Source organism: Homo sapiens, chromosome 3 (assembly GCF_000001405.40).
Source record: "Homo sapiens chromosome 3, GRCh38.p14 Primary Assembly".
Classification (NCBI taxonomy): domain Eukaryota; kingdom Metazoa; phylum Chordata; class Mammalia; order Primates; family Hominidae; genus Homo; species Homo sapiens.
This window is the reverse complement of record NC_000003.12, coordinates 61,659,501-61,685,187: the sequence shown is the minus strand read 5'-3', so window position 1 is coordinate 61,685,187 and position 25,687 is coordinate 61,659,501. Positions and strand designations below refer to the sequence as shown.

The 25,687-nt window shown below is 42.8% G+C and overlaps 1 protein-coding gene and 1 long non-coding RNA gene across 7 annotated transcripts in view, besides 2 other annotated features; both read right to left on the bottom strand.

Moving 5' to 3' along the window:
- Nucleotides 1-25,687, bottom strand: part of PTPRG (protein tyrosine phosphatase receptor type G) — a 736,039-nt gene that overhangs the window by 612,422 nt on the left and 97,930 nt on the right. The gene's annotated exons all lie outside the window — the stretch shown is intronic.
- Nucleotides 1-25,687, bottom strand: part of LOC124906245 (uncharacterized) — a 32,384-nt gene extending 6,697 nt beyond the window's left edge. The window contains exon 1 of the long non-coding RNA XR_007095942.1: nt 1-25,687. This exon is cut by the window's left edge and continues 4,497 nt beyond it. This is a non-coding gene — a long non-coding RNA (uncharacterized LOC124906245).
- Nucleotides 4,462-4,961: an enhancer, noted in NCBI's record as "H3K4me1 hESC enhancer chr3:61665901-61666400 (GRCh37/hg19 assembly coordinates)". NCBI's record gives its function as "activates a minimal SCP1, AML or CMV promoter by ChIP-STARR-seq in primed H9 embryonic stem cells {active_cell/tissue: H9 hESC(primed)}" and the evidence as "EXISTENCE:reporter gene assay evidence [ECO:0000049][PMID:30033119]".
- Nucleotides 12,458-13,295: an enhancer, noted in NCBI's record as "H3K27ac hESC enhancer chr3:61657567-61658404 (GRCh37/hg19 assembly coordinates)". NCBI's record gives its function as "activates a minimal SCP1, AML or CMV promoter by ChIP-STARR-seq in primed H9 embryonic stem cells {active_cell/tissue: H9 hESC(primed)}" and the evidence as "EXISTENCE:reporter gene assay evidence [ECO:0000049][PMID:30033119]".

Here is a 25,687-nt window from a genome sequence, read left to right as displayed (position 1 = left end):
CAACATAGTAAGTGCAAGCACATTGCCCAATTTTTTAAATGTACTATCTCGTTTAATCCTCATAACCACCAGATGAGGGAGGTAGGCAGTCTTGTACTTAAGAAAGAGAATGAGAGAGGCGGAGGAGCGGGAAAAGAAAGAAGGAGAGCGGGAGGAGGAGTAACAGAGAGAGGGAGGGAGATGGGGAGAGAGAAACAAAGGCTCATCTCCAGGAGACTAGACTTGGGTTAAATAATTTGTCCCAAGGTCAGTCAATGGCAGGGAAGGGATTCACACAGAGGTGTCTCTGGTGACAGATATCACGATCATCTTCACCACCCCATATTGGTTCATTTAAAACCTGGTTCCCAAACTCAACTACTCCAGGAAGCCTTTCCCAGTCAACTGTAAAACTCAGATTTCCAAGTACCTTGGAATCTCACAGGCAAGTTTTAATCTACATTAATCCACATTTGCTAATTCTTGGTTCTGCAATTGTTCTAAGCTGTTTCACATGGTCCAGTTTTGGCTCCCAAACTAAGCTGTAAATGCCCCAGGATCAGAGGCCCCCGCTTTTATGACCTGTGTTTCCCACAGCCTTGGGTAATGGACTTCCCGACTTCCCACAGTAACAACCACACTGGGCTTAGAAGCTCCTGTCAGATGTTAAGACAGAGCCCCTCTGGGCTTGGACGTGTTCCCTTTGTTTCTCTCAATATCACTGGAGTGTGGCAAATACTGGCTCAGAGAAAACCCACACAGAAATGACTATATTTTTAAAAAGGGCTGTAAATGTTCCAAACCAAAAGATGCCAAAAGAAAAATCAAAATGTATGCTCACCTCAAAAGAACAGGCAACCCGCTCCCTAATGAGCCACATACAGGCACACAGATGTGTCCCGACAGCACAGCCTGGAGGGGAGCTGGCAGCAGCATACTGATGTGGAAACAAAGGTGAGATCCCCCACCATCACCACCAGCATATACACTCCCATAGGGGAAACAGGACAAGTTGTGACCACCTTACTACTCAGAAGGCAAAACTTCTGTTGGAGCTACTCTTAAAAGTCCAGGAAACATCTCTGATAGCCTATACGAGACAAAGGAGACAACAGTGGCAAACGGAAGCATGACTCCCTCATAGCTGTTTAGTCTCCAGGGAATCTCAAACCAGTGTACAACTGCAAGACCATGTTTATGTCATGCTTGCCCTACGGTACCATGGAGCTGGGATGAAGTTACACATTTCTAAATGTTACCAATATATAGCAACACATTCTAATCACAGCCCCAAGACGATAATCACATAATTTCTACTTTGTGCATACAGGCTATTATTAAACGCCTAGACTCGAATGGGAGGTCTCCTTCATAACTAAATTTACCAAGTTTTTAAAGTGTGGTTTTATTTGCTCTGCTGCTGATGCCAAACTGTAGCCTCAAGTCTTTCACCAATGTTTTTCAAGAAGGCTTCCAATATTCAAGTGACGGTGAAGTCATAAGTCGAGAGAGAGCTCAAGCACGACAGAGAACGAAATATATCAAACGGAAGAAAGGAACACTATGTCCCATGAAAAGGAAAACAATTCAAAGGGATTTCCAGTTTAGTTTGGCTACTGCAACCATGGTTTTAGAAAAGGCCACAAACTCAAGAGTGTTCCTGAGACGGCCAAGTAACCCCAAGGATGAGGGAGCTGTTAAGTGTAGAGAGGGATTTGGCTGCTTGGTTAACTGAATAGTATGGGAACCACCTATTTCCTAAAAGGGAAAAAAACACATCCTTGACTTAGAATCGAAAATTGACCCTCCACAGAGAATTGACTACTATTTCTAGGCCAATCCACAGCAACAGCTGTTACCACTGCCTCATTTACATATCACCCATTCAGAAAACTGTCCTGAGTGACTGACGCCATTCGGCTCTGCTGGCCTTACCCAGAGTTTCCAGGTTGGGACTGCCGTCAATTATCAGCCCAGCTGTCTTCGGCCATTGTGCTGATCTTTATAGCCTGACTTTTGCAATGCTGACTGAAAAGAGCAATTCAACTTTATGGAAAATAAAAACACCTCAAAGATTCCATAATGACTCACTTTTCAGCCCAGGTGTGACATCCCTGTAATTAGTCAGCAAGACACCTTGAGCTTTGTTAGGCCTAAAACCAAATCGATTTATCTACCATAGAGGAGCTATTCATACCACGTGGAAAATTAAGGAAGGAAGAAAGAGAGAAAGAAAAGCTTTCCACTTAAGGACAATTTAGCTAATAGATCACATATGTTCAGCTTTGTCTTCCCCTTGCCTTTTTCTGGTTTTAAATTTTATTACCCTGGGGCATTTGCACAAAACAGAATCTTCTTCGTTGCTTAGGAATTAATCCGCCACTGCTGTTTATTCCTCATTTGAGTCATAATCCTCCATTTGTGACATCACAATTAGCCACTTGTGGTGATGATTATAATGTCATGAACAAAGGATTATGACTGGGAGTTGGAAACAAAACAGCAGGGTCACTGAAAGCTGGGCAAGGAAGTTCTTTTCAAATAACCATCCCCAGGAATCAAGAATTGAGGGGTGGGAAAGAAGAACAGGATAGATAAACTAATTGGAAAAAATCCACCTTTGGACAGAAATGATAAATGAACCAGTAGTTCTGACCTAGTGAAAAAACACAGAATGAAGTTACCAGCTACCTTTTTCCTCACTGGCCCACTTTATTAAAAACTTTTTTATGTTTAACTTTACAACAAATGCCTATGTCCCCATCACCCATACCCATTACTGTCAACATTTAACAGCATCTGCTATATAAGTCTCTATGCACATATTTATTCCTCAACCATTTGAGAATAGCTTGAAGATATCATGCCCCTTGGACCCCAAATACTCGAGTGAATTTCTTAAGACAAAGACATTCTCGTATATAATCATAGTAGAATTATCAAATTCAGAGAATTTAACATTGATATAATATGGTCTAACTTATAGTCCATGTTTGCAGTTCACCATTATTTCCAAAATTCATTTCTCATTACCAGTTCACTTTTTTTTTTTTTTTTTTGAGACAGGAGTCTTGCTCTGTGGCCCAGGCCCAAGTGCAGTCACACAATCTCGGCTCACTGCAACCTCTGCCTCCCAGGTTCAAGTGATTCTCCTGCCTCAGCCTCCCATATAGTTGGGATTACAGGTGTGCACCCCACGCCTGGCTAATTTTTGTATTTTTAGTAGCGAAAAGTTTTCACTATGTTGGCCAGGCTGGTCTCGATCTCTTGACCTTAAGTGATCCACCAGCTTCAGTCTCCCAAAGTGCTGGGATTACAGGAGTGAGCCACTGCGCCCGGCCACTAGTTTACTTTTCAGTCATCAAGAAAATGAAGCCAACATCTTTTTTCAATTTTCCTCCATGGTCAACAACATTACTAATCCAAAATTCAGGAGCTTAAAAAAGTTAAATCCAGAGCAAGAAAAATCATAATGGCTACTGTTTATTTGGTGCTTCCTACATGCCCATATCAAATACTTTACATGTATTATCTCATCTAAACCCTATAGAAATTCCATGGGGCATGAGTCCTTATAATCCACATTTCATAGAAGAGGAATAAAAACTACCCCAGAGAATGAAGCATATATTGGGAAATATATCAAGGTGAAACAAACGGCCGAGTCCTCTCTGTATGACAATGCTTCCTCTGAAGAGCTGAATTCATGCTGGTCCTAGCAGGCAGTCTGACATGAATAGATTACGAGATCCAGTCAACCTTCAGGACAAACTGAAAGCAGACCAATACCCCACTGTAAATGAAGGCTGCAATTAAAAATGCAGATTGCAGGGTCAAGGCTGATTGTAATGTTTCAGCATTGGATCATTACAGAATATTCCAATACACATCCTGCCTCTGAGCAAGTTTTGTGGTTGGGTGTGTGGTGGGTAGTTTCTGTGGCATTATTAACTGCCTATTTAACAGATCCAGGAATGCCATTTATTCTAAACGCAGAGTGAAGGTTTTAAAAGCAAGAAAAGAAGCTTTTCACAAGCTAAAAGCTTTTAGGATGGGATGGACCTTAAATTGCCTATTTCACAGAGACAGAAATGGCTCCAGGGAAGTTTGGACATTGTTACTTTCTTCTTCTTTTTTTTTTTTTTTTTTTTTTTAGAACATAAAGATATAAGATTAACTCAATCTCACTAAAAAGCAAAGCTGCTCATCTAAACCGGTTTTGGAAAGGAACAAAAATTCACAACCTAAAAGCCATGACCGCATTTGAAAATAATGATTTCCATACAGCTCCTGTCTCCCACATTTTAAACACATCCCACTGTGCACATGGCATATGCCATATACAGGTTCCCAACACCCAGCAAGTTACACAGCAGGCACCAAACACCAACCGGGTGCCAATAACCCTAGTTATTGCCTGCTGTGACCCTAGTCATCCCCATCCCCACCTCCCTGCAACCTGTACCACACCTGATAACCAGAAACAGCTCTAGGAAAAGTTTGCTCACCAATATACCCTGAAAGCCTATACCAGAGGCTGGTTTTTCCATGCCCTCTTTTTTTTTTCCCCCTTGATCTCCTATTTTTTTTGTATGATTTTTTTTTTTGAAGGACAGAATGAAAAACTTCATTCAAAAGTAGCCAAGGGTCACCCACATATTTTGCCAGGCTCCCATGCTGTTTTTTTGTGTTTTTTTTTTTTTTTTTCATAAAGCTGAATAATTGCCAACATGTTAACCTCAAAACGCTGATGTTTCTGGATTTGGATTTTTATCTAGATTTCTTGCTTCTCTTGATACTCAGCCTGGGCAAGAGTAGGAGCACATTCATGCAGGCCGATGCTGGTGCAGGTCCAGCCACCCTGAGATGAGGCCCTCTCCCTTTCACACCTCCACCTACCCTGCTTCCCTCACTCTACTTTCCTTACCGCCAGCCATCTGAAGGCGACTTCACAATTAACTGTCTGGACAGGGACTCTTTGGAGAGTGAAAGGGGGCACTGTTAATAATTACACTTGGACAAGCTGGCATTAATGGGGCAGATGGCCATCCTATTGGGTTGCCCGTTTTGGGTCTGGCTTCAATTCCCTGCATCAGGTACGTCTTTGTTCTGTTCTGGCCCAACTGCTCTGGTTTGCTCTGCTCATCAGTTTTGCTTTGGGATTGAGAGAATAGGAAGTTTTAATGTCTAATTAGTAAATTGCTTAAGGGGACAATCGAAATTGAGAAAGAGAAAATGTTCCAGTAGCGGGGCAGTTGAAGAAAAGTGGGACAAGCCGAAGAGAGTAAGGTGTCAAGATTTTTACTTCTCCTTGGGATCACTCTTTACTTCCCACTGCATTCCATTTAAACCCTGTGAACCTCAGGCCGGCTGAGGTCTTACTCACTGGATTGTGGGGTTTTTTTGCTTTTCTGTTTTTTTGGTTTTTTGAGACAGAGTTTCGCTCGTCGCCCAGGCTGCAGTGCAACGGCATGATCTCAGCTCACTGCAACTTCTACCTCCCGGGTTCAAGTAATTCTCGTGCCTCAGCTTCCTGAGTAGCTGGGATTACAGGCGTGCACCACCACACCCAGCTAATTTTTTGTATTCTTAGTAGAGACAGGGTTCCACTGTGGTGGCTGTTCTCAAACTCCTGGACTCAAGTGATCCACCAGCTTTGACCTCCCAAAGTGCTGGGATTACAGACGTGAGCCACGGTACCTGGCCTTATTCACTGGAATCTAATGAGATATCTTAAGATCATACTGTTAAGGTTCTGCATGTACTGACCAGGGTCATTCCGTGACTTATAAGCCTGGCTCTTGGTCGGGCTGCTAAATTTCTGGTACCTTTTAATGAAAAACACCACCAAGTCCTCTGAAACTGAGCAACTTCTCAAAACCCTAGCATGCATTCTGTCCTCCTGACAGGCTGTCAAGATCTCCTTTTATAATGAACCCAATGCGCAGTTGGGCTCCTTGCCAAATGCGATGGCCATTAGTTTGAAAACAGTTTGAAATGCTCAAGCTTTGGAGTCATATAATCAAAATCAATTAATGTATCATTTGGGAGTTTGTATGTACAGCCATCCCTGAGGCAGCAAGCTTTCCAGACTCTGATTTGACTGTGGCCCAATCTTGCCATGTTTCTACCAGTCTCTCAATCACGTGAGACCAGTGCCCTTTGTGAATATTCTTCCCTCTCCTAGTCAAATAAACTTAACTTAGGATGACTGTCGTCACTTAACGGGGGGAAAAAAAGCCATTATTGCAGAAATGCTTTCAAGGAAAAAAAAATTGCACATAATACAGAGATACTAATGAGGGGTGAGCATTGGGAGGCCTCCCAAAACTTAGGTATGGGGGATGCAAATTCAAAGAGACTATTGGGTATTACAATGGGCATTTACTTTTGGAGAACAAAAATAAAGTTTTAGACAAACAACCAATAGAAAGAGTACACGTGTTTGGGGTTATTTGTATAATAAGTATCAAAATGGGACATGATTATGACACGTCTGGGAAGTAGGTTGGGTGCTGTTTTTCTAGAAATGTGAGATGCCAAGCGGAGACGCCTGGAAGCCAGGATGGGAAATTCACGTTGATCTCTCGGCCAGGGAACTTTTTACCAGGGATGAGGCCATCTTGTCTGGGGATGCTCCGAGCTGGAGAAATCAAAGATGCAAAGACAGAGGGTACAGCTACAATGGACTGCACTTCTTTCCAAATAAGAAGGGAATGTGGGGAGATACCATCAGGTTGTTCCCGTCAATTCCAGCCCCACCCGACTCCTCCGAATTCTTGACTCCCCTGCTGTGTATTCAGACACCTCTACTTGTAAAGACTAGACAACTACGCCAGACATTGTAAAACACATGTTGACTATTTCTTCCCTGGACAACACATGAATATCTATCGCTTCCTTCATTTTTTTAAACCCGTCGGGCTACCCCTTCAAGTATTCAGAACAGTTTTCCCAGCTGTTAGTTTTCAAGTGTCTTTTAGAACGACAGTCATTTTCCATTCATCTTCCATCTTCCTTTGGATTGCGGGAGGGCAGCCACACGCATGCCTTTGGTTTGCTTATGAGACTGGAAACAGCACGAGCTGAGCTGGATGATCCCAGCCACAGCCCCTCATTCACGGCACTGTTTGTCTAATGATGATAAAACATCCTCATCTGCCCAACATCAGGACTCTGCCCCAGTTCTGCACACAGCATGTTGTGTTACCAAATGTGGTGTCTGCACCTCTGGGTATCGAATTTCCCAAACAGCTTTCATAAATTTTAATTCATGAGGAAGGGGTGTACACAAGCTACCTTTTGAAACTGTACCAGTCACTTCCCTTCCCCTCCCATCCACGGCCCAACACTCCTAAGGACTCTTTATAACTGACTTATGGTCTAGGTGTGCCACATCAAGAGGGGCTGCCGATTTCCAGAAATCACTAGCTTAAAAAATATATCAAATAAGCAAGCCACTCTACCACTCTGGGACCCTGTGCATTTGAAGCTTGGTTTGTTCCAAATCAAAGTAAGAACAGAAAATAGAAAATCGGCAAAATTTAGCTATTGCAGCACAGAGAGAAAAGGAACTTTTAGACACATAAGCAATGGGCAGGTTTTAATCACAGGCCTAGATCTATGGCTTTTATATGCACACATTATAATTAATAAGTAAATATACATCTACCAAAAATTCATCACTGATTTATTGGGATCGTGATCCAAGCCACTGAAAGGGTTAATTAACATGTCCAAAAAATCTATATCTAGCTGTGCAACTTTAACTGAACAAGTTAGTTTCTCTCACTGTCTAGGCCTCGTTTCCTCACATGTAAAGTGGGAAGAATAAGAGAGACTGCCTCTGATGGCCTTCATAAAGATTCAGTTGTTTAAGGTAGGTGCCAGGTATAACACAGCACCTGTCCCACACTAAACATACATAAGAAGAGGTAGTGATTCTTTTTTTTTTTTTTTTTTTTGAGACGGAGTCTCGCTCTGTCACCCACGCTGGAGTGCAGTGGTGCGATCTGGGCTCACTGCAACCTCTGCCTCCTGGGTTCAAGCGATTCTCCTGCCTCAGCCTCTCGAGTAGCTGGGACTACAGGCGCCCGCCACCATGCCCAGCTAATTTTTATATTTTTAGTAGAGATGGGGTTTCACCATATTGGCCAGGTTGGTCTCAAACTCCTAACCTTGTGATCCACCCGCCTCAGCCTCCCAAAGTGCTGGGATTACAGGCCTGAGCCACCATGCTTGGCTAAGAAGAGGTAGTGATTCTTAATGTATTGTTTTTACCCAGGCTAACTGGAGGCTCACAGGACAGATAATACTCCTCACTCAGGTCAGGAGTCTCCATCTAACTAGCTATGGAAGCCAATAAAAGAAATTGGTGGTCCACATTCCAACAGTTACCCAATCTCTATCCTATCTGGCTCCAACTATCCCTGATGAGAGGAAGGCCTATAATAGCTCTCAGCTGAGAAATGGGAATTAGTAACTTATGGTAAATAAACAACAGAGAGATACACACCATGCATTAACTATCCATTTCCCGATAGATGTCTTTGGAAGAGTCACATGCAACCGCAACACGTTAAAATATATCAAGGCGCCAAGACATCGGGCAATAAAAATTACTTGATACACTAAATTGTGTGTGTGTTTGTGTGTGTGTGAAAGTAAAATATTCACTGGAATTACAGTGAAGTATTCAGAAAATGTACTAATTTCACAGACTTTAGTAATTTTCTTTTTTTTTTTTTTTTTTGAGATGGAGTCTGGCTCTGTCGCCCAGGCTGGAGTGCAGTGGTGCAATCTCAGCTCACTGCAAGCTCTGCCTCCCAGGTTCACGCCATTCTCCTGCCTCAGCCTCCCGAGTAGCTGGGATTTCACGTGCCCGCCACCACACCCAGCTAATATTTTGTATTTTTAGTAGAGACGGGGTTTCACCGTGTTAGCCAGGATGGTCTCGATCTCCTGACCTCGTGATCTGCCCACCTCAGCCTCCCAAAGTGCTGGGATTACAGGCGTGAGCCACTGTGCCCGCCTAGACTTTAGTAACTTTCTAAACAAAGATTTTTCATGATTGTTTTGTTAACTAAGGCGAAATACTAGCCAGTATCTTCTGTTACTGTAACTCCAGATTCCTTCTTGGGTAGTGAAAAATAAATAAAAATTTAACTTACAAATGCCTTCTTAAATAAATGACTGGACAAATTTTCCTCTATTTCCAAGAATGGTCGAAAAAACTGAGAACAGACGTATCTAACAATAGGATACTGGTTCAATTATTAATATGATCCATGCTACCACGGAATGACACATGCCTCTTAAGAATGGCATTGGTGTGAATGTGTAGATCTGGGGAGATGTTTATGGCTTACTGAACACTTTAAAAAAATTTAGGAAAGATAATTCAAAATGTATGCAAAAGCAACAGTATAATAAACCCTCATTACTCATCTGCAAAAACTATCCTCAACTTAGGGCTAACCTTGTTTCAGCTGAAACATTAGCCATAGGCCTCACCTCTCCCCTTGGTTATTTAGAAGCCAACATCAAATACCATATCAATTATGATATTCTACTAAATGGCAGAAAAAAGACATACAACTGCCTAGGAAGCATAATCCTGTTATTAAAAGATAGCCAAAAGTACATACATAATAGGGGGAAAAAAGACTGTTTACCTAGAAATGCTAACAGTGATACCTGTGGGTGAGAAAAATACGGGACTCAGTTTCTGGCTGATATGTTTTAATCAACTTTTTCTATCATGAACCATATATTACTTGCATTATAAAGACAAATTAAACTTAACATGTCCTTAAAATAATTTAGTATCATAAATGAAACAACCTCAACCATGACTTCCACTAATAATACCCAAATTTACTGCTAAATCTTATTTTTCTATATTTTCCTAAACCTTACCATTCTAGCCTAACCCATCTCACATCCTCCATCCTCCGGAAAAGTTATCCAAGCCACCAACATAAATGTATCATTAAGGGGAAAAAATTAGAGATATATGGAAATATCATTTGCATAAAGAATATTGCTTGCTATACATCATATGCCAATTTTTACTAGAAAAGAAATTGTTATTCAAAAAATGGTAAGAGTTGATGGAAATTTATAGGGCAACAGCACTGAGTGACAGACATCTGTGGTAGGGTAATGCTAGGCTGTTTCTTGCTTTGTTGATTCAACAATCAGCACTGAATGTCTCCTGTTCTAATTTATTTTAACTTCTGCTTAATTAAATGCACAAAAGAACGAATGTGTTGGATTTGGGGATTTAAAATGACTTTCACCCAGCTGTTTTTAAATGCACTAGGAAATTTCTTGAATATAATTGTTCTTTTAGAGGCAAAAAAGCATACTGTAACCATGACACTCACACAGAGGGGAATTATCACCTAGTGACACTGGCTGACAACTTGTAAACAGTAATTCCCACCCAGAGTTTGAAAGACATTCCAGGACTTTTCCAGCTACCTCATGAGGTGATGTTAAAGTTACAAAGAGAAAGGTCAAGATAAAATTATTTTTAATTCATTTTCAACCAATTCAACAAACAGCTGCTCAACAAACATCTGCTAAACCAAACAGAAGTCAGCAGCACATCAATCGAATTTTTTGGACAACTGGGGAATCGTCTCCTACCTCCCACCTTTTTTTAATGGAGTATTTATAGAGTACTAATATGGCTTTTTTTTTTTTTTTTTTTTTTTTGAGATGGAGTCTCACTCTATCGCCCAGGCTGGAGGGCAGTGGGGCGATCTCAGCTGACTGCAGCCTCCACCTCCTGGGTTCAAGCAATCCTCCCACCTCAGCCTCCTGAGTAGCTGGGATCACTACTCCCTGCTAACCAATATGGCTTTAAACACATTAGGTAACAGTAGAATCCAAAACTGAAAGAGCGGGGAGCTGGAGATCAGTATCCAGATCTTTCTACTCAAGGCAACATTAACATGTCCATCTCTGAGACATTCAATAGGCTTTTCTCATGCAAAGCCATGTTTCTTTTTTTTTTTTATTATTATTATACTTGTTCTGGGATACATGTGCAGAACGTGCAGGTTTGTTACATAGGTATACACGTGCCATGGTGGTTTGCTGCACCCATCAACCCGTCATCTACGTTAGGTATTTCTCCTAATGCTATCCCTCCCCTACCCCACCCACCCCACAAAGACGCCAGTGTGTGATGTTCCCCTCCATGTGTCCATGTTTTCTCTTTGTTCAACTCCCACTTATGACAACAAGCAGTGTTTGGTTTTCTGTTCCTGAGTTTGCTGAGAATGAGGGTTTCCAGCTTCATCCATGTTCCTGAAAAGGACATGAACTCACACGTTTTTATGGACAAAGCCAAGTTTCTATTTCCTACCACATCTTAACATAAGGAATGTACATTCTTCTTACTCCAATCCTCCCAATCCAGTCAAGTGTTGCTCAGAGTTCAATAGTCAGAAAGGGGGTTAGATGATAAGAAATTACTTACTGGGTATAAGGTACATTACTCGGGTGGTGGATACCCTAAAAGTCCCAAGTTGATCACTCCATAATCTATGCATGTAACACAATTGCACTTGTACTTGCATAGATTTATACAAACAGTAATAATAAACTAGTACAAACAATAATAAAAGAATTCCATATTTTAAAAGAAGAACATGTAGAAATAAATTTGTACTCAGTGTGATGCCTAATGCCAAACTGGCTCTCAATAATAATAGCATTGAAATATATACCATCTAAGGTGTATCATCTTCATTTTGCAGACTGAGAACTACCTCAATGAGAGCCCCACTTTGTAAAGTCTTGAGCTGGTGTTTTATCCCATGGGACCATTCAGGCTCTTTGTTATTTACCAAAAATCTCTAACACAGAGTTTTAGAAATAACCTTTGCCAAGTGGCTCATCCACAGAAATTTCTATTACTTTCCAGAAAGCGCAAAGACTGTGATTCACATGCAGGAACAATTTTTGTTTTACATGCAGGGACAACTTATAGCTTGTTATTTATTTGTTTTATCTTTTTTCTTCCATTTTATTTTGAGACAGAGTATCGCTCTGTTGCCTAGGCTGGAGTGCAGGTGCCACGATCGCCACTTACTACAGCCTCGACTTCCCAGGCTCGAGTGATACACTCCACCTCAGTCTCTCCGAGTAGCTAGGACTACGGGCACGCACCACCACACCCAGCTAATTTTTTATATTTTGCAGAGACAGTCTCACCATGTCACACAGGCTGGTCTCAAACTCCTGGGCCAATCAAGAATCCTCCTGCCTTGGCCTCCCAAGGTGCTAGGATTGCAGGTGTTGTGCCCCCACACCGGGTCCCAACTTTTAGACTCCAAAACATGATGGACCCTTAAGAGCCCTCTCCCTCTCCCTCTCTCTCTCCCTCTCTCTCCCCCTCTCTCCCTCTCTCTCCCTCTCTCCCTCTCCCTCTTCTCCCTCTCCCTCTCCCTCTCCCTCTCCCCACAGTCTCCCTCTCCCTCTCTTTCCACGGTCTCCCTCTGATGCCGAGCCGAAGCTGGACGGTACTGCTGCCATCTCGGCTCACTGCAACCTCCCTGCCTGATTCTCCTGCCTCAGCCTGCCGAGTGCCTGCAATTGCAGGCGGCGCCGCCATGCCTGACTGGTTTTCTTATTTTTTTGGTGGAGACGGGGTTTCGCTGTGTTGGCCGGGCTGGTCTCCAGCTCCTAACCGCGAGTGATCCGCCAGCCTCGGCCTCCCGAGGTGCCGGGATTGCAGACGGAGTCTCATTCACTCAGTGCTCAATGGTGCCCAGGCTGGAGTGCAGTGGCGTGATCTCGGCTCGCTACAACCTCCACCTCCCAGCAGCCTGCCTTGGCCTCCCAAAGTGCCGAGATTGCAGCCTCTGCCCGGCCGCCACCCCGTCTGGGAAGTGAGGAGCGTCTCCGCCTGGCCGCCCATCGTCTGGGATGTGAGGAGCCCCTCTGCCTGGCTGCCCAGTCTGGAAAGTGAGGAGCGTCTCTGCCCGGCCGCCATCCCATCTAGGAAGTGAGGAGCGCCTCTTCCCGGCCGCCATCACATCTGGGAAGTGAGGAGCATCTCTGCCCGGCCGCCCATCGTCTGAGATGTGGGGAGCACCTCTGCCCTGCTGCCCCGTCCGGGATGTGAGGAGCGTCTCTGCCCAGCCGCCCCGTCTGAGAAGTGAGGAGACCCTCTGCCTGGCAACCGCCCCGTCTGAGAAGTGAGGAGCCCCTCCGCCCAGCAGCCACCCCGTCTGGGAAGTGAGGAGCATCTCCGCCCAGCAGCCACCTCGTCCGGGAGGGAGGTGGGGGGATCAGCCCCCCCCGCCCATCCAGCCGCCCAGTCCGGGAGGTGAGGGGCGCCTCTGCCCGGCCGCCCCTACTGGGAAGTGAGGAGCCCCTCTGCCCGGCCAGCCGCCCCATCCGGGAGGGAGGTGGGGGGGTCAGCCCCCCGCCCGGCCAGCCGCCCCGTCCAGGAGGTGAGGGGCGCCTCTGCCCGGCCGCCCCTACTGGGAAGTGAGGAGCCCCTCTGCCCGGCCACCACCCCGTCTGCGAGGTGTACCCAACAGCTCATTGAGAACGGGCCATGATGACAATGGCGGTTTTGTGGAATAGAAAGGGGGGAAAGGTGGGGAAAAGATTGAGAAATCGGATGGTTGCCGTGTCTGTGTAGAAAGAGGTAGACATGGGAGACTTTTCATTTTGTTCTGTACTAAGAAAAATTCTTCTGCCTTGGGATCCTGTTGATCTGTGACCTTACCCCCAACCCTGTGCTCTCTGAAACATGTGCTATATCCACTCAGGGTTGAATGGATTAAGGGCGGTGCAAGATGTGCTTTGTTAAACAGATGCTTGAAGGCAGCATGCTCCTTACGAGTCATCACCACTCCCTAGTCTCAAGTACCCAGGGACACAAACACTGCAGAAGGCCGCAGGGTCCTCTGCCTAGGAAAACCAGAGACCTTTGTTCACTTGTTTATCTGCTGACCTTCCCTCCACTATTGTCCTGTGACCCTGCCAAATCCCCCTCTGCGAGAAACACCCAAGAATGATCAATTAAAAAAAAAAAAAAAAAAAGAAAGTTCATACAGTATCAGGAGAAGTCCTAAGACCTCAAACAAAATAATCTTCCCCGAGAGATGCCGAAGATTTTTTATTCCCCATCTCCTGGACTCTGTGACAGCTTGGAAATGGGCACTACCATGTTCTCAAATTGAATCATATTTTCAACGAATCCAACTTAAGCATGGCCTCACCTAACCTGATCGCTCCGGCTTCGCAGTGTCTCTACGTCACACTCCCCACCCCAAGTCAGGGCAAGCCTCCGGAGAGCAGGGATTTCGATAGTCACAACACAAACAAAAAATGCCAACGAAGGTCTCTTTTCTGCGATTCTACTTAATTATATCTTAAAGAACTAAGCAGTATTTCAAACGACAGCAGACTCAACCATGACAAATTCCCCGTGTTGTGAAAACTCGCGCCCAGTCTAATACCTACAACCGGAGGCTCAGGAAAATGCCGGGGGACTGCGAGAGATTTTAAGAACTCTGCCTCCCATAGCTGGTCCCCTTCTAGAAGGTTTCTATTTCGTGTCAGAGAGGTTAATGAGTTAGTGGGTCTGCTCTAGGTCTAGCTTTGGAGTATGACCATATGGAAAGCAGAGATAAGCAAGTAAAAGATGTCGCGCTGATCAATAAGGGCGCAGACAATACCATTTTGAAAACAGATTACAAGTCTGCAATGCGCTGTGACATAATTTAAACAAATATCACAAAATGGATTCCTACAAGGCAAGGTGCTCTTAAGAGTAACTCAGGTATGTCTGAAAGCTACAGTGACATCTTTAAGACTCCCTGGGAACTAGTTACTGGCAGACATTCTTAGATGACACCTTGCTGGCCTGAAAGAATTAACACATTTTCAAAAAGAACCTGATTTTTCGGGATAAGTCAACCCCCTCCTGGGTCTTCCCAAGTTTTTGAACATAAGTCACTGACTACAAACTGAGTCCCAATGCAATTCAATCAGTTCAGATTCGGCTAAAGGAAAGCTAACACTCAGCATTTATCTGCCCCTAACACACCCAGAGTTGGGCTTTTCACATCTTCCCACAGGGCTATGTGTGAAGCAGATATTTATCCCCATCAAAGAGACAAGGAGACTAATGTTCAAAGGGATTGAATCAAGGTGTCCAATGTCAAACAGCTAGTGAGCCAGGGTGGGGACAGAAGTCTAGTTCTGCCGACTCCAGTACTGAAACTCAACCACCCTACCAAGCTACCTCTTCCACGAAGAGCAGCCCTACATGACTAAGCACACTGATCACCACCTGCATTCAAAGGCAGCACGTGTCTGGTCTGTGAGCCCTTCCCTCCTCCCTGTCACCACATCAACACCCAACCAGCTGTCCACAGTGCCAAGATATGCCACATTCCCCTCTCAGTGCCAAACTGTCTCAAGTACAACTGACTTTTGCAGCAATAAAAGACACATAGTAGAAAAAGTAATGTGTATCCTACAGAACGTTAAGAAAAACCTGTGCAGCATAGTTCCAAGCAGTAAATTCCTTGCTTCAAAGGAGAAGAAAAAATCAAAACATCCATTCATTCAACAATACACTGCAGGCACGGGGGTCCAGTCATAAACTTAAATCAATTAACTCTCTATCTGAAATGGAACTGTAATTAACAGAGACAGTAAAGTCTAGGAAGAGAAGTAAGAAGGAGTAAGAGGGATGGGAATGGATGCCCCTGCAGACACTGTTAAGCCACAGACCAGCTGTGACTGTGCTGTCATTACTAGGGACAGACACATCCAATGTTCCTCTGAGCCTCTTGATACCGGTACCAGCATCCAAGCACATTACAGTATTTGGAGTCAGTCCTCTGACCTGATTCTGGGTCTCGGTGAACAACTCATAATGTCTCAAGCTCTAAGCCACAAAAATCATCCATCAACCCCACTGGAAATGAGGCCCTGAAAAAATCTTGCCTGAAACAAACACTTCTGCTCATACTTTTTATTTAACTACACTACCTTAGTCCACTCTCAAGCAAAAATCAAAGTTTAAAATAACCAATCCTAGAGAGCAGCGCAGCTCAGCATCCTTCACTCAAGGCCCTAGAAGGTAATGTCAATAATACAAACGCAATGCACAGTGTTAGTTTTACCAGGGGACAAAACTGTAATTAGAAAGCATTTCTATATTATCTAAAGTTCAGTGTAATAAATGAGCTTTAAAAAGTAGGCCACCACTGATTTAGCAAATACTAAGTATTCTCTGAATTTAGTATAAGCAAAAAGCTCTATGTTGGGGCTCATCATAATTTCAGATAGAGGAGCTTGTGTGGTAGAGTAAATCCTCCTAAGAAATGACAGCCTTAGTGTAACATACTTTCAGCCCAAGATAATACCATCTCTTGAAAATATCTGAGAGTCACATTTGTTGTGATTCTACTCTGAGATCTCATTAAACTTCAGGAAGTGTCTACATGTTCAGCAGAGGGTAATGTTCACAAAGTAACCTTTTTTAAAAAAAAGCGACAAACCCATAAAACCAATTAAAGCCTTACACATTTCCTCTAATACTTTTTGTAAAATTTGCATAATTTCTGATTTAACAAAAGAAACTCAATTCTTGGTCTCCCCCCACCTAACCTTGAGTTGCTGTGTTATAAGGCGCCACCCACACACTGCCGTTTGCTTTCTACTAAAATGGGCCTGTCAGTTTCTATTCTGAAGCTGTTGCAGAAAAGCAGCGAGAAAAACAGAAAGTTTAAGATTGCTATTTTCAAATTTTGCAGAGTTAAAGCCGGGCTTTCTAGAGTACTATAGAGAGTTCACACACTCTCCCATTTTTCACATGTTTATCTGTTCCTTTCTCTTCCCCCAAATGCCTGATAGAGGGGTGTCCTGTAAATGATTTCACATTCATCATAACACTGGAGAATGGCACCAAATACTTGGACCTTCAATGTATGAGTTTTAACTCAATCTTATTTGAAAGTATATGGAATTAAGATTTTTAAAAATTTGTTCCTACCTTTCTGGACTATACATATGGATGAGAATGGTCTTCTGTATGGGTAGGCAGACTCACTCTGCTAACAGCCAGACAGTAAATATTTTAGGCTTGGCAAGCCATATGGTCTCTGTTGCAAACACTCATTTCTACTGTTGTAGCAAGAAAACAGCCATAGACAATAAGTCAACAAATAGCAGGGGCTCTATTCCAATAAAACTTTTTTCCCACCCCTACACCTTGACCAATAAAACTTTATTTACAAAAAAATAGGCAGTAGGCCAGATGTTTGCCCATGGGCCATGGTTTGCCAATCCCTGGTCTTGTGGATCAAGTCTTAGAATCAGCAGAATGGACTTAAAAGACTAGTAGCCAGACTGACTTTTTTTTTTTTTTTAATTAAAAAAATTTTGTTTAAAGAGACAAAGTCTCACTATGTTTCCCAGTTAGATTCAAACTCCTGGGCTCAAGAGATCCTCCCACCTCAGCCTCCTAAGTACCTGGGACTGCAGGTGTGCAGCACCAGGCAAGACTGACATTTATTAGCCGGTAATTCTGGGCAGTCGACTTTGCCTTGCTTTAGTTTCCTCGTGTACAAAATGCCGAGCATGAGTCAGGCCTAATAGAGCCTCCCTCATAGAACTGTTCTGAGAAGCAAGTGAATTAAAATGGGAAAAGTGCTTAGAGTCGTAGCTGGAACATATTACGTTGTACATATGCTTGCTATAAGCATCATTTTAAATCTAATTAATGGCATTATCTAGAACCAGTATCAAATACATATATATATTTTTCTTTCTGTTATAGCTATGTCAAAGGTGCCAGACTTTCTAGGAAAACTTAGAAGGAAGTTTTCTCTCCATCCCTATGTTAACGCCTTTGCATCTTAAAAGCAGAAAATGTTAAAGATACATCGAGGTTAGAATGTCCCACCAAATCCATAAGCTATGCAATCCAAATTTAAATTGTTGAGGAGGCATTTAAGTTTTCAGCTTATTCATAAGCCACTTGTGGTTTTTCTTAGGATTCGAGTTCTGTTATGATTTGGGGTCACTGGAGACCATTTCCGCTCTTGTTTCCAAGCCCATCCTAAAGCAATTACTGCTGCTGTAAGGCAACAGGAAGGAACAGATGGCTGGGTCTAAGTTTTAAAAGTACTTTTTAAATTATTAATTCAAATGAATTGGGGGGGTAAGGGAGAGGAGACACTACCATTACATAATTTCTTTACTAAATGTAAAAACAATTACTAAATTGAAGTCACCCATTCACTCCAAGTACTGTTCTACACCATTTTTGAACAAAGAAAACACCTGACATCAGCTGTCAGCTTTTCTTAAGTAGGCTTCTGTCAGTGGTCAGAAACAAATTACTCTTGAGACATCTCTGGTATTACAAAGAGGATGAGTGTGCTACTGGCATCTAGGATAGATGTTACTAAACACCCTACGATGAACAGGATGGTCCTCCCAGATGCTGGGTAATAACCTTTGGATAATAACAAATAATTATCCAGCCCAAAATGTCAATAGTGCTGAGTTTCAGCAACTCTGCCTTAGGTTTTGAGAAAACCAGCGACAGTAAAACCACCTGCCAGGTACCTGGTGTTTATCATCTCATTTCACTTTCATCACAACCCTACAAAGGCTGGTTTTCCTTTCTTCCATTGCTAGATGCAAGAAAAGATGGCACAGAGAGGCTAGGCTGCCTGCTCCAAGTCCCCTAGCCTCATAGTAACAGCAGAGAACTGAACACAAGCTTGTCAGATTTGCCACACACCCTTCCCAGAAGGGGAAATTATTTGGCAAATGAAGACTGGTAAGTTTAACTTAAGGGAAATAAGATATCCAAAGTCTGTGAACTGCTATCAAATGAGAGTTCCCATCTCTGTCAAGCCCAGAAGTAATTCAGACAGATAACAGAAGAGAAATCTCATCACCTTCACACCAGTAAGGAGCCTTCAGCAGCTCTGCTGCGGCGCCCTTGATCTTCACCAGCCGGCATAAGAGGAACAGAGGTTTTTATCGAGCATCTGGGAGTTTATTACACTCTGCAACTCTTTCTCCTTTATAGGATTTTCTGGCCAAACTCAATAGTCACCAGCATTCTGGAGAGGTTAACATCGTTCTTTATTTACTAAGATACACAGCCACCTGTTTCCAGTTCCCAGTATAATTAGCCATTTTACTTGGCCAAAAAAAAAAAAAAAGTAAAAAGGCGTTAAGAGCTAGAATTCTAATCCTTTCCAATATAAGTCTAATTTTATTTCATTTTCTGGACCTCTCAAATTCATACATAAAATTCCAACTAAAAGAGTTTCATATCCATAATTCATTTTTAGAAAAACAAAATCTTTTCCTTTAAGAAATGGGGTATCATTCTGTTGCCCAGACTGGAGTACAGTAGCATGACCATAGTTCACTGCAACCTCAAACTCCTGGGCTCAAGCGATCCTCCCACCTCAGCATCCTCTGTAGTTGGGACTACAGGTGCATGCCACCACACCCAGTTAATTTTCTTTTCTTTTTTTAATACAGATAAGGTCTCACTAGGTTGCCTAGCCTGGCCTAAACTCCAGCAATCTAATGATCTTCCCGCCTCAGCCTCCCAAAGTGCAGGAATTACAAGCATGAACCCTTTTACCAGAACCCAGCCTAGAAAAACAAAGTCTTCAATATATTTGTGCCTGTGTGTGTGTGTGTGTGTGTGTGTGTGTGTGTGTATTTATTTACAATTCACCATCTTAGCTTTGGGTTTTCTTTCAAGTTACAACTTGGCCCAGACTTGCAAGATAACTCTGAGCCTCCATAAAACATTGCCATATCGCTATAAAAAAATCATTGACTCAAATAAACCTATTTGTCTGACTTTGTGCAATAGATTTAAAACGATACTTCCAGGAAGAGACAGTGAAAATACTGATAGGCGAGTACTGCAGAAGGCCAGCAATGTATTTCTTAGCTCCCCATTTCTTATCTCTTCTAGGTCTCTACTTCTGAATGGCAGAAAGGCAGGAGCTTGTGTGGTGAAGATTAGCCCCTACCTACTACACAAGATTTCCTTTCCTAAGAATTTCACCTTGAATCACAGCCCAGCTACACAAAATGGGACAGAATAAAATCTGACATAAACATGGATCCTCTTGTGAGGGTTCCTATTCAAACAGGGGTGACACTGATAGAGACAGTAAGATTTATCAGAAAACTCCACCTGCTAGTGGTTCCAAGAAAAATTCTGAACCAAAACAGGGGATGTCCAGTTCCTTAAATTTCACATAACCCTTCAGACAAAAACTTCCTACTACTCAATATCTTCCTAAATGCTTTTTTATTTTTTTTATTTTTATTTATTTATTTATTTTGAAACAGGATCTGGCTCTGTCGCCCAGGCTGGAGTGCAATGGCGCGATCTCGGCTCACCGCAACCTCCGCCTCCCAGGCTCAAGGGAGCCTCCCACCCCAGCCTCCCTAGTAGCTGGGATTACAGGCGTGTACAACCACACCTGACTAATTTTTGTATCTTCTGTAGAGGTGGGGTTTTCACCATGTTGCCTGGGCTGGTCTGGAACTCTTGGGCTCAAAGTGACCTACCAGCCTTGGCTTCCCAAAGTGCTGGGATTACATGTGTGAACCACGCCAGGCCTTTACAATGCATTTTTAAATGCCAAAAGTAATGCTCATAATTATTTACAGCACAAAGGTAGAAGTGAATTGTTTTTACAGAATATCCAGATTTATACTAGGTTACTTTACTGCAACAATCTTAGTGACAGAAAGAAATAATTCTGTCATGCTCTTGGACTGAGGATTATAAGACAAGGAGTGATGGCCCATCAGACCAAGAGCTCTGGGCTCAGCCACCCCATCAGTTGAGTCCCAGGAATGTGGCTTCCTGCTGGGTAACTATGACTCACAACTGTAATGTTACCTTCTTAAAAATGCGAGGGGCGTGACACTAGCTTGACTACAAGGAGCATGTAGAGTGGGAACTTGGCAATAATCCACTTAATACAATCCAGATGTGGAACAAAATCCAACAGTTCACTTCTTGAATTCATCACTCACAACTTAAGGAACTGAATTACCAAGGCTAATTCTGCCAAAACAGAAAGTACATGATCAAAACTTCACATTCGTTCTCTGACCATCATAACAAGAATGGATTCTGAGGATTCTGAGAAATACATGCCTGCCTACTGTGTAAGTGCTTTAAATCAGGGGTCCCCAACCCCCAGGACACAGACCACAGCCAGTCCGTGCCCTGTCAGGAACCGAGCTGCACAACAGGAGGTGAGTGGAGGGCAAGAGAGCATTACTGCCTGAGCTCTGCCGCCTGTCAGATCAGTGGTAGCATTAGATTCTCATAGGAGCAAAAATTCTATTATGGGCTGTGCACGTGAGGGATCTAGGTTGCCCGCTCCTTATGAGGCTCTAATGCCTGATGATCTGTCACTGTCTCCCATTACCCTCAGATGGGACTGCTTAGTTGCAGGAAAGCAAGCTCAGGGCTCCCACTGATTCTACAGTTTGGTGAACTGTATAATTATTTCATTATATATTGCAATATAGTAATAATAGAAATATAGCGCATAATAAATGTAATGCACTTGACTCATCCCAAAACCATCCCCCCAACCCCCGGTCCATGGAAAAATTGTCTTCCACAAAACTGGTCCCTGATGCCAAAAAGGCTGGGGACTACTGCTTTGAATACACTATCTCCAAGCCTTACAATAACATTGCAAGTTAGGGGTTATTTATCCCCACTGTACAGAGCAGGATATTGAGGCTTAAAAAGATTGTATCATCTGCTCAAAATTATACAATGATATTCATTTATTATTTCAACAAATACCTACTGAGAACCTTCCACGTTCTGTGACACCAGGCATTTGGGAGTAAATAATACAGACATGTCCCTACCTTCATGGAGATTACAATCTTCCAAGTGGCAAAGTCAGATTCCATTCCCAAACATGAATGGGATGCCAACGACATTGCTCTTTTATTTTTAATTTTATTTTTTATTTATTTTGAGACCGGGTTATGAGACTAGCTGATTCTTGTATTTTTGGTAGAGACAGTTTCGCCATGTTGCCCAGGCTTGTCTCAAATTCCTGTGCTCAAGTGATCCACCCACTTCAGCCTTCCAAAGTGCTGAGATTACAGGTGTGAGCCACCATACCTGGCCTGCTCTTTTCAATGGTTGTGAAAACTAAAGAAAACAGTCATATCGGAAGCTACTCGACTTGAACCTGCATCAGACGCCTATGTGTATACTCTGCATCTGTTCTGCATTCCCTTGCTCACCTGCATTTCCGCAGACCGACAGACATATGCACCATCACCATCAATAAGTCTTAGTTGAGAGGCCTTTTTAAAATGCTACTGGAACAGATCTTCCTTGTTGATGCTAAGTACCAAATCTAACCCCAAAACATTCCCTTTTCTGCCCCTAGAAAGGCCTTACCTAGTTCTGCAACATCATTGGACCCCATTCCAAGGGCATGCCAAGGACCATCATCTTCTTATGGATTCAGTTTGTTCCTGTGTATCTGACCCCCACCATTATTGTGCATTAGTGATCTATTACTGTGTAACAAATTATCCCACAACGTAATGGCTTCTAACAACAAACATTTATCATCTCATAGGCTCTGTGGGGCATGGATGTAAGAGCAGTTTAGTTGGCTTGCTTCTGGCTCAGGTTCTCTCATGAGGTTACAGTCAAGTGTTGGCTGCACTGCAGTCAGCTGAATATTTAATCTGGGATAGAGGATCCACTTCCAGGCTTACTTATATGGCTATCAGTGGGAGGCCTCCATTCCTCACAACACAGGCCCCTCCACAGGGCTGCTTGAGTGTCCTCACAACATGGCAGGTGGCTTTCCTCAAAGTTATCCAAGACAGAAAGTCTCTTTAGAGATATTGTCTCTAAAGTCACTATCACTTCAACCTTATTATGTTCATCAGGAGACATGAAGTCTAGCTCATAGTCAATAGGAGGACAATTAAACCTCAGTTTCTGAAAAAAGATTTTGTGGACATATGTTCAAATGACTATTACCTTCTAACCCCTTCCAAGACAAGAAGAAATCTGGTCTTCAGGAGAACTTGGGTTAATTAACTATAAACCTAGAACCTAGAAGGTGAGTATAGTGTTGGTTTCTATTTGTTAGTGTGCTAACCAGTGCTAGTCAACACGCTAGCTACACCAACATGTATAAATAATAAAGAAAAAAAATACTTGATGAGGCATTAAGCCTGGTGCTTATTAAAATTTAAATTATTAATTTCTGAAAAGAAACAGTAAGGGATTGGGTGGTGGTGGTGTTTCTTGACAGGTAAGTATTTGTAAATCAAAATCATTATTCTCTTTGCCACACATTTCAACACCAGCTAGTAGGTGCTGGTGTTTTATGTGTCTAGGGCTGAGTCTGTTATATAAGAATGCTAATATCTACACACAAATTGATATCTCCTCTTTACTCACTACAAAGAAAAGAGAAGTGATTAAGAAACAAACAAACAAAGCTCTTTATCCAAGTTAAAAATAAAAGGAATAGAATTTATATACAAAAATGAAATAAACTTGTTCTTTAATTTCTAGTGTTTTTTGGTATTTATAGCATGATAAAATGGCTCAGCGTAGGTACAGTCATTCACTAAAGATGCTATAATTCTAAAAAACATTCAGTGGCATAAATGCTTTACATATTCTAAACTGCCTAGGAAGCCAGATAAATAAGATATACGCAGCATAAAAACGGGCATATAGACACTAAAGGAGAAATAAGATATTCACCACAGTCAAGGTTTGCTATTCCTTCACTCAGAAATCACTTCTCTCTTAAAAATTTAAAAAAAAAAAAGGAAACTTTTATAAAAATAGTAAGATGACAGAGTAATCTCAGCAATTTGTAAGGCCAAGCACCCATTTTTTTTAAGTGAGGGGAGCCTGGGCTAGTGGCATGCACTTGTAGTCCTAGCTACTCGGGAGGCTGAGGCGAAAGGATTGCTTGAGCCCAGGAGTTTGAGGCTGCAGTAGGCTAGGAGCATGCCACTGCACTCAGCCTGGACAACTGAGCAAGACTCTTGTCTCTTAAAGAAAAAAAAAAAATTTTTAATTAGGGGGGGAAAAAGTGTCCAAACCTGTTTAATGTATTAAATTGTGTAAGGTTTTGTTTTTTGAGATGGAGTCTCACTCTATGGCCCAGGCTGGAGTGCAAGTGGCACAATCCGGGCTCACTGCAACCTCCGCCTCCCAGGTTCAAGCGATTCTCATGCCTCAGCCTCCTGAGTAGCTGGGATTACAAGGTGTGCACCACCACGCCCAGCTAATTTTTCTGTTTTTAGTAGAGATGGGGTTTCAACATGTTGGCCAGGCTGGTCTCGAACTCCCGACCTCAGGTATCAGCCCACCTTAGTCTCCCAAAGTGCTGGGATTACAGGCGTGAGCCAACGCATCCAGTCAGGTTTTTTTAATATCCAATCATCATTATCATTGTCAACCCGTAGACGCCGTGTTATACTGAACCACGTGCTGTTCTAGAAGCTTCCTCTGAAATGGTCTTTTAATCCTGATACCAACACCATGAGGTACTGCCTTTAACAAATGAGAAACTGAGGCTCAGGGAAGTTAAATGCATATATCACTCGCTAACTATGTGAACAGAGGCGAGAGGGGGCTCAAACCCAGACAGTCCAGCCTCAGTATCCAAACTCTGGACCACTATTCTATTTTCTTGTTCAGAGAGGGCTTTGGGAGACTTTGAGTTCAGGTTTACCTCCTGGTCAAAAAAAGAAGTTTAACCACACTGTGATACTTCTGTACTGCCTTTAGAAGTCACAGCAAGCTGCCACCTGCATTAAAACTCCCAAAACAATTCTGTCAGGTAGGTAAACATTCATCTCCTTAGTGTTTCCAGAATTTCATTCTTTGTGCTTTTTTCATTTTTGTTTGTTTTTTGAGACGGAGTCTCACTGTGTCGCCAGGCTGGAGTGCAGTGGCATGATCTGACCTCACTACAACCTCTACCTCCCAGGTTCAAGCGATTCTCCTGCCTCAGCCTCCTGAGTAGCTGGGACTACAGGCACAAACCACCAGGCCCAGCTAATTTTTGTATTTTTAGTAGAGACAGGGTTTCACCATGTTGGCCAGGATGGTCTCTATCTCCTGACCTCGTGATCCGCCTGCCCTGGCCTCCCAAAGTGCTGAGATTACAGGTGTGAGCCACCGCGCCCGGCCAGAATTTCATTCTTTCTCATACTATGTTCAAAGTTTCCACCATAGCCACATTCCCCCTGAAAAACTCTAGTTTTCCTTATTTAAAAAAAACCATTCATTTCTTCTAATTAAATTTATTTTTAAAGGAAATTGTGTATCACATCCAGGAATTTAAAAACTAGTATTATTTGGTTTAGGTAAATCGGTTATGAAAAGTAATAATCAATGTATCATGACACTCTCCCACTGCACCCAGACATGACTTCAGAATCCTTCTCCATACAGTGGTCTAAGCAGTCTCTATCCATTAATCATCAATGACACTCAAAATGCAATCTACTGGGTATACCACATGGAATCTAATACACTCTTCAGAGAAGGAACATGACACTCAAAGGTTACCAAGAAAGTGTTTATCTTCCTAAGATTTTTTGGGAAATGAACACTCAAAATCAGGATCCAGAC